At 39.1% G+C, this 9,555-nt stretch overlaps 1 protein-coding gene across 8 annotated transcripts in view; it reads right to left on the bottom strand.

The window, feature by feature from the left end:
* Nucleotides 1,739-9,555, bottom strand: part of SEMA6D (semaphorin 6D) — a 590,140-nt gene continuing 582,323 nt past the window's right edge. For 2 of the 8 annotated variants that reach the window (NM_001198999.2, NM_020858.2), the window contains 2 exons: nt 9,290-9,390; nt 1,746-5,470 (listed from right to left, as the gene is read on the bottom strand). In NM_001198999.2, coding sequence (NP_001185928.1) covers nt 4,182-5,470; nt 9,290-9,390 — 1,390 coding nt within the window. In that variant the 3' untranslated portion in view covers nt 1,746-4,181. Of the gene's footprint in view, nt 5,471-7,218; nt 7,387-8,873; nt 8,931-9,289; nt 9,391-9,555 lie in introns of all 8 variants that reach the window. The other 6 variants (NM_001358351.3, NM_001358352.2, NM_153618.2 and 3 more) reach the window with 6 other exon arrangements.

Below are 9,555 nucleotides of genomic sequence, written 5' to 3'. Positions count from 1 at the left end.
CTCTCAAATGGGATCTGAGCATTTATCTTGAGGATTCATAGATGTGATTTTAGGGGACTGTAAATGTCCTGGAGAGGAAAGGGAAATGCGCCTTTCAGTCCATAGCATTCATTAAATTATCAAAAATGTCTATGATGGAATAAGGCTAAGAACTTCTATAAGGGAGAAAAGAAAGGTGCATTTTTTAGAAGAGAAAAAAATCGTTGAACTCAGAAAAACTAGTAAACAGGCAGTAGGTATAATAAACACCAATTTAATGGAAACAGGCAATGCAAATGAATGATAATGCAATGCTAAAGAAGCCTAGGAAGAGGCTGCGTGTGGTGGCTTATGCCTGTAATCCCAGCACTTTGGAAGGCTGAGGTAGGTGGACCACCTGAGGTTAGGAGTTCGAGACCAACCTGGCCAACATGGTGAAACCCCTTCTCTACTAAAAATACAAAAATTAGCTGGGCATGGTGGTGAGTGCCTGTGCCTGTAATCCCCGCTACTCAGGAGGCTGAGGCAGGAGAATTGCTTGAACCCGGGATACAGAGGTTGCAGGGAGCCGAGATCGTGCCACTGCACTCCAGCCTGGGCGACAGAGTGAGACAAGCTTGGAGATGCATTTCCCTTGTGTCTTCTTTCATCCATTTGTTCGAAATCTGAGTTACAAATTGACTTCTGCAAGTCAGTAAGATGGGAGACACCTTCCACCCTCTTCTCCAGCACTATAATGGTGTGCACTTACGCAGACTTCCTTCCAATGATAGGGTAGTTTGGAAGGCCAAGGTCAGGTTCTGTGGCTGGTGGCACCACCTGTGGTGCCAGGAGCTGTGAAATGGGGCAAATAGGCCATCCCCTGGTCTTCTTCTCTCACAAAAAGATTCCTTCAAATTTTTCCTCATGTCTCTGGAGTATTGCATGCTATGATAGGAATAAACAAGGACTTCTGATACCACTAAATTGACACTGAAATGCAGCACCCCTAATTAGATGACACTATCAAGGAGAATAAGACTCGAGACAGGAATATGGCCATTCTGCTGTTCAGCAAAGATGCTGCTGAAGCTCCTTGAGAAAACATGACCACATGGGAGCTGCAGATGGGCTTTGGCCAGGAGTAGCAGCTAGAAACAAGAGGGCAGGGATTGCTACAGCCTACCCCTGTTGTCTCTCTCAGAAGTGGCCTGCCACTGTCAACATCCACGAGAAGCAATGACAGCAGCCACCAACTCATTACGTGCTAAGAGCAAGCCATGGAATCATATTGTTACCTCTCATTTCAATATTTAGGGAAGAGAGCTCCTAATTTATTCTATTTGTTTAAAACAAGGGAACTGAGAAACTCCTTATACCAAATAGCAAGAAATGTTCACGGGAACCCTGTTTGCCAGTTATAATTTTGAACTATTACGTGAAAAATTTCACGCAGGAAAACAAATCATGAATTTTAAAAATGTCTGTTGAACTAGATAGATCTATGGACAATGTGAACCACTACTGTTTGCCTAAAGCATATGACTGTTGACGTAGTACAGTTCAACTGGTTTTCTGAACAGTTTCTCATTTTTTTCAGGGGCTCTGACCTCCAGTGTCAGCCTTCCAAGGAGAGAATGGTAGTGTAATCATGACTGGAGAGCAACTGTTCCAGATAAGAATATTTTGGCAGATTTTAAAAGCAACTATTACTGGTGTTGATTGACTTAAAAATATTTTAAAAATATAACATGTTATAAACCTCTTCAATATCAAGAGGCAGGATATAATGATTTGTATATTTTATTTTGACTTTACATGCGGTGTTAAAAACCCAAAGTACATATTATTTACACATCCACAATACAAGTTTACAAGGTATCTATTCATGTTAAAGTACTCTATAAAACAGTATAGAGACACTTCACTTGAGGGTTACTTTTTATGCCGTACCATTAAAAAAGATACAATCTGCGTTTACCTTTGCACAAATGGATAAAGCATTTAAAAATTAAATTAACAGGATAGAGACTAGATTTAATGTTAGAAATTTCAACATAAATACTGATTGAACTCACATTACAAACTACAAGGAAGCACAATGTTACAAAATGTTATCTGGGGTCACATAGAGTTACTGTTCTGTTTTACACACGCTGGGATTAATATTGGTAAGGTGAATTCAAACACGTTTGTTGTTGGTGGACTGAGTAGTGTTTATCATTGGTTGGTTTAATTTATTATTAATCTGTAATATTTTAGTTGCAAAGCTGAAGTGTTTCAAGAACAGAAATTTTAGCTTTAGCGCTTCCAGAGATCACTGGAAATCACGTTCTTTATAAAACAATGTTCTTTAAAAAAAAGAATAACTGTATCAGTATTTCACATTCTGTATAAAAATGATCTGGTCTTCTGCAACATGTCCTCCCCCAAGTAATAGGTACCAACAGTATTGTCAAAAGAAATCCAGTTGAACTCATTTGCCTGATTACAGCAGGAGCATACCTCTGCCTTGGTACTTTCTAGATTTGGTTCACTAAACAAGTGTGTGGTGTGCAGCATATTAACTGAAACAGTCAGCAGGGTTGCGCATCATCAGCCGTAAGTGGTTTCTGCCAAACTACGTATAAATGACGCTCTATAGTTTCTGCAGGTGTCACATTACCCAGGAAACCTCATTTGAGTTCACATTATCACTGTTTCATCCTTAGGAAAGCAGGAGTGGAATGTTTATCACGGCAAAGAATGTAATGCTGCTATGAGGTCGGATTATGTAACAAATAATTGTCCTAGGTTGTTTCTGTGATTTTTTGAAAAGAGTCTTTTTAGGTGCTGGTTGAAAAACATTTACAACTGGCACTCAGTAAATAATGTGCTATACTGAAAACACTTGACAGATTTTAGTACTTCTATCATTCTCATGAATAAGGCACAAAATGCACAGATTCAGGTAAACTCACATGTGGTATTTACAGTATATTGTCATTACCTGCATGACTTAGGAGAAAATTCTCACATAACACAACACAGACAACATGATTGCACCACTGTTAGGTTTTTACAGACTGTTTCTGTTAAGCCAATTACAATTCCTTTCATATGTCTTTCTTTTGTCTTCTATTTTTGTTTGTTTGTTTGTTTTTTGTTTCTTACCTTGGGGGGTAGGAGGAGTTAAAGGAGGAGAAATTTTACTATTGGGGGGGGGGAAACGAACACAATCAAAATAAAACCTTATTAGTGTGTCCAAGGTTAAATAGAGTGACTCAGGCTTTGATTCACAGTGGACAGGAAAATTTTACTACTGAATACTGGAAAATAAATCAAGGATACCTCTTAATATCTTGATCTCCTTAAGCTGGCAAGACTGGAATACAAGTTTTAATGAATAGCAGCACAAAATCACTTGCAACTCTTACATTCTGGCATTGGGTACCACATAAGTAAAGTTCATCATTTTGATGGTCAAAGGAGCCTCGATTCTATTCCTCTTTCAAAGCTGAACCCAATGGACTCCTGTGGGAAATAGTATTGTCTCTCGTTCGGTCATGCTTAATGTAAACAACTCCATAGCACAAAAAGATGCAATGGGCACCTAAACAAATCCTAGTGGGTACAGAACACACACACACACACACACACACACACACACACGCACACACACAACAAGTTTGTTGGTGGCATGAAAAAGATGCCACACATGAAAAAAAAATGCTACAGCTTGGGTCAAAGATTGAATTTTTAGCAAACTGCTTGGTAATCTACAAGTTCATTTCTTTGAGATATTACCATCTTTTTTTTGACATTTGTGCAAGAGGCAAGGTGAATGCATACATATTAAAATGTTCACATTTAATGGGAAGACCACACATAATGGCAGTCTACATTGAACCCATTTTCAAGTATTTGTTCACAGATTCTTCTGAGTACTGTTATCAGCTCTTTATACTGGTAAGGTAGCCCCTGTGAGCTACACATCTCTTTAGCTTCAAACAAAAGAAATGGAATGACCAGCACCTTCCTTTGTTTTCAGGCAAGTACACAGAAGCCTTGCTGCAGTAGCTACATGTGGCAAGTTCTGATGTTGCCAAAGTTAGAAAGAGTTTCTTTGGCCACTTGGTTCTCTTAAAATACAAGCGAGTCTCTTGTTTTAAGGTACCCTTACAACATCATCCTCTCAACAACACGGACAGGATAAAGCCACATGGGAATAGCACACTTGAGGCCTAGTATGTGTATTTGTTCAGTGGTCTGACAGATGGGGTTTGAGGAACAAAGGAAGGCTTTGGTGGCACGTCAGGTTTTAAGGACGGCGTCCTCTTTAGTCCCGTCCTAGGAAGAGTGCCATTACTGGTGTAGCTGCTCTGTCTGGAGAGGGAAGGCTGCAGATGAACACTCACTGGTGTTCCCTGAATATAGTCCACCTTCGCCCCAGTGGGGGTGGGCATATATCCTCCACGGTTCATACTAGGCTGTCTGGATAACAAAACACCATTTGGTGAGTTTAAGTTTTTAGGCATAGCAGATATAGAGTGCCTCTGGGAGGAATTTTTGTGATAACCTCTTTGTCTTTCCAGAGAAGTCATTGGGACTCCAGGAGTGGTGGGGACATCCACTCGCTTGGTTGGGCTATTTCTGGGGAGAGTTGAAGGAGGGGAGTATAGCGATGCCTCCCGGTTAGGGACTTTAGGTGGGACCTCAGACATCGATCCCATGGGATCCAGCATTAAGTTCTGGTGTGCCATCTGGATGTCTCCCATGATGGCTTTGGGGTTACTATTTGGGTCATTCAGATGCTTCAGGAGATCATTGAGGGTATTTCTGGAATCAACAGAACGCCGGTGATCTCTCTTACTGGATGACTTTGTGAGAGGGTGATCAATGTTTTGAAGCTTCTTTTCAGCTTTGTGAGCATTGGAGTTTGAGAAAGACGTGTTGTAGTCATGGGTAGCATTTGGAAGAACAATGGCACTGGGGATATGCCCATGACTTAATGGGGAATGAGGTGGCGGACTAGACGGAAAAAACTGAGGGGTTTCTTTCCTTGAAGCTCCATGGCCATGGGCCTTTTCTGAGTGGCTCTTCATGGCCTGCAGGGTCTTCTGGTGAAGCACGGGTGTAGACTCAGGAGTAGGAAGAGCAGCCAACTCTGGAGGTTGCCCTCGATGGTCCATTACCATGGATTTAGTATCTCCATTGGGTGGTAGCTCTTTCCGACTGGTTAGCAGGTTACTATACAGTTTAGGAGAATCAATATTCTGTTGGTATTCCTTGACAGGGCTGTCAAAGAGACCATTCAGTTTGGCAAAACTTCCACTGGAGTCTGTGCATGACTGGGCGGACTCTGCATCTTTATGGATCTTTCTGTTTTTCCGAACAAACATGTCTCGATAGCAGTATACTGCCACACCTGCAATGAATGCCCCCAAAACAAAAGCAGCAAAGACACAGGTGATGAGGACATTCATGTGGACCATCTGGTTGGACTCTCCAGACTGGACTTCCCATCGTACACCTGAAATAGACACATGGGACAATGTGAATAAGGTGCTTTTTAAAAATAATAATAAATAGCAAATGGCTTTCAGTGAGCCAACACGACCTTCATATGGTTCATATGCTTAGCTCGGAGGGTCAAGTAGACTCCAAAATTCCTTGTATATTTTGTCTTTAATCAAACTAGGATCCCCAGAGACATACAGGATTGCTGCAAATGCCAGGATAACTCTAATCTCCCACTGATCTGTATTCTTCTGTTCTTTTCCTCCAATCCCTCATAAATAGTTGTTACATGTTAAAAATGTAAGAGTTTCTATCTAAAAAATAGTTAGAAGTGTATATTTTCTAAATAGCTAACTTTAAACTCATATGTTTTGTCTCATAATTTTCTCTTAATTCAGGATTAAAAGGTAGCTACTAGGATATAGGAAAATGTAATAATTAGCATAAACATATGCTAAAATAATTACTCTGATACAATTATACTAACTTTAATATGAACATATAATTTGTTCACAAACCAAAAATATCTGCTTGATCACTGTTAGCTATAAATAGAGACTTTCATGTTTGCTTGGATTTTTTTTTTCATTCCATCTTGGGGTGAAGCACTCTTGAATGACCGACTATGTAAGAAACCCAGACAGTCTAAGGAAACATACTATGTATTAGTTAAGTAAACTGTCAAATTATCTGAAGATATTTGAAAATATTTAAATTAGACCTAGAAAAAGAAGAGCAAATTAGTTTATAATTACTGAAATTAAACTTAACCTTTTAATGCAACCACAGACATCTAACAATTAATAAAAAAAAGTTAGTTTAAGAGGTATTCAAGTCTGTTACATGCTATAAACACAGCTATCCCAGAGTAAGGTAAGTCAGAGTGATTTTGAAGATTCTGTTGCTTTAAGTTAGTACTAAGGCCTTTGAACATTAGTTGTTTTTAATTAATGTTTAATTAATGTTATGGAATTCAGTGGCACTGTGAAAGACCGAGAAAGAAAAGTAGAAAAAAATGGTGTTACTAAAGAAAGCAAAGCAGAAAGAAGAATGATTATAAAATTGGTTACAACGAAAACATATAAAATGAAAATCAACCGATATAAATCATAAATGACAATGTGCTGCCATAAAAACTGATTGGAAACCTGATACCATAGTTTAGTAAGTACTAAAGAATAGATTTTTTTTTCCTAGAGTAATATATTTAATAAGCTAACTCAACAGGCAGCTATTTTATAACTGCTCCTATTACGGGCTGAAAATGATAGTTATGGACGAGCACTCTGTTATGTTTTATTGCTTGTGGCATTCAAGCAACTTAGCATCTCACATATCCTTTTCAGATTGCATTTTGAATTGAAGCTAAACAAGAGTCTGGGAAAGGCTCCTAGACAAAACATCTGATATCAGGATATTTGCAATTAATGAGTTTTGTTTTTTGATGTTGCTGCGGTGACCCTCGAAATTCCCTGAAATCCAGCAGGCTCTCTGCTTCTTCAGACAGAAATCAACACAGATTAGATTGTCTGAGTGGCTGCTTCACCAGCCTTTTCTCCAACAGCTTTCCACCTCTTTTATCTTTTAAGGAATGCACTCAGATATAACCACAGAAAGCCAGAGAGACTGTGGCAAGGGGCGGTGGAGGTACAACCGCAGAAGCTCCTGTGAGGCCCACCTCTGGAGAACCACATACTCCTCAGTGACATTAAGGATCAGGTTTCCACGCAGTTAGAGATGAGGTCCCTGCTGAGGCCTTACCCTTTGGGATACCCGATAAAGGATCAGTAAAATCAGAAGTGTTTGGATCATCTTGAACTACAAATTTCCGAGAGCTTGTCAGTTTAGGTCTCCAGGTATCAATCACTTTAGGTGTGATTTCTGGGATACTTGCCATTGTGGTAACAGAAGATGAAGATACCTCCATGTCTGTGGTGGCAAACAGATTTTTATTAATATGGATAGTGTCAAGATTTTTTTTGATTGGTCTGTTGCATTTTTAAATAAAGTTTGAGTAAATTTTATGAGAAAGTTTGCTCTAGGATTTTGTAAAAACACGCCTGAGGAAGCTACATCAAATTCCTTCCTTTCAAGGGAAGAATGAAAACTAAAAATTAACAGTAAAGACATATTCAGCAGATTTCAAAATTAAAGATACTCGAAAGGCTCTTAGGAAAGCCCCTGTGGTTACTAATGACACTCATGAAAAAGGTAATATAATTCCCAGGGCAGATTAGTTGCTGTTTCTTCCTTCTCTTGTGAGACATCATTTCATTTCTTTTTTATGCATTTTTAAAAGCACTTTCACAGATGGTTAGAAAATCTATAGGCTTTACTGGGGAAGAAGCTATGATGGAACTTTGTTGGAAAATATCTGGTTAAGTCTATGAAAATACTTGATTTTGGACGTGACAAACCAGCTCTGCCTAAGAGGTTGTTACCAGGGGCTCCTGTCCATTTGTAGATTATTCACTATACTAAGGCTCTGCCACCCACAGTAAAACAACGAAGGAGGGGACAGACTTTGCTTGTACTCTCTCCAAAACTGCTGGGGAGTTTCTTCCAAGCAGAACCTAATGCAAAGGCAATGGCATTTACAAACTGAATGAGGATATTCTGATACATAAGATCTACCATCTTTTTCTCCCCCTGAGGAAAGGAATTGCTGGTGAGTTTTAGAAGCAGCAATAGGACCGGGAGTTAACTTAACCTTTTAGCATGTCTAGTACTGATTTCCTCCAAATAGATTTTCCCTCAAAATGTAAGCCTACGCTTTTAAGCTAAAACCTCAGAGACCACAATTCTGACTGGTGCAACAGTTAACAGAAGGAGGCTCCAAACAGGTACAGAGAGGCTTGGAGAGCCCATTGAACATCTTAATACATCAAAAATCAGCTTCACTCCACTGAAGCCTTTTTCACACCACTGAGACCACAACATTCAAAGATTCCCAGGATTAGCGCAAACCATTCAAAGATCTCTAAAACTTATAAATACACATTTATGGGAAATGTGTATTTGTTTACTAGGTCATAGGAAAGGTGAGGAGAGATGGGGAAAATAATGAAATTCCGCCATCCATTAAATACAGATGACCAGAAGAAACATTCACAATGCAAAGAGGTGAGAAAGAAGAAAGCTTGGGTGGGCGTGCGTGCAGCTGGAATGCAGTCTATGTTAGCCCATTTGAATTTTCTTAAAGGATGTGGCTTGGTCAATGATGAAGTGTTAACATGCTATAAACAAGGGTGAAGTGCTCAGTAAGAAAAGTCTTTTGGTACCATCAGTGGGAATATGAGTCAAAGCGGAAAAATGAAGGGCTGCCAAACTGCGCAAAAGGAGGGGAGAAGGGGCTGAAAATGCTGAACTGAAGGAAAGAAAAGGTTGTTAATTCAAAAAAATTAAAAAAAACTAACCAGATGTTGGACCGCCAAATATTTTGTAATCTGGTGTAGTTGAAGTAGGCAAAATTTCTAAAAGAATTAAAGGAACAAGTAATCAGTGAAAAGTAACCAAAAGAAAGCAAAAATTTATGAATTCCAATTAACTAAAAAAGTAAAAAAAAAAAAGACTATAAATTAAAAATATTAACCTACTGGTTAGACTACCTCTCTCTAGATTTCCTACAAAATTGTAAATGGTGAAGGAAAAAAAAAGTAAGCCTCTTTTCTAATGTATCCCCATGACCGAACAGCTCAGCTTTTGCGAAGTTTAAGTTAAATGCTAGGTGGTATGTGTCCTGAGTCATTAAAAAGACTGATTGTAAAATAATGTCGACGTGCAAATGTGGTCAAAAAGAAGCTCCAGGTGGGAATGGAAGATTCTGTCTTACCATGGCAGTCCCCTAGATGAGCTGTGTTGCCGAATTCTGTGTCTTGTTCATATCCTTCAGCACTGTGGTTATGGAAAGCAAAGAAGTCTTCGGTTAACAGCCTTCATAGGAACACAAGTGACAACCAGAGCAGAACCAAGAACACAGACTGATTAGTAAGAATGGGCAGAGAGAGAAAAAAAAAAAACAACATTTTAACATAACTTGCTAAAATGACTATTTCTGTTAAAAACTGGTGAACTAGAATGCTTAAGAGAACAGAAGAG

This window comes from Homo sapiens, chromosome 15, assembly GCF_000001405.40.
Source record: "Homo sapiens chromosome 15, GRCh38.p14 Primary Assembly".
NCBI classification, from domain to species: domain Eukaryota; kingdom Metazoa; phylum Chordata; class Mammalia; order Primates; family Hominidae; genus Homo; species Homo sapiens.
This window is presented reverse-complemented; position numbering and strand designations above follow the sequence as displayed.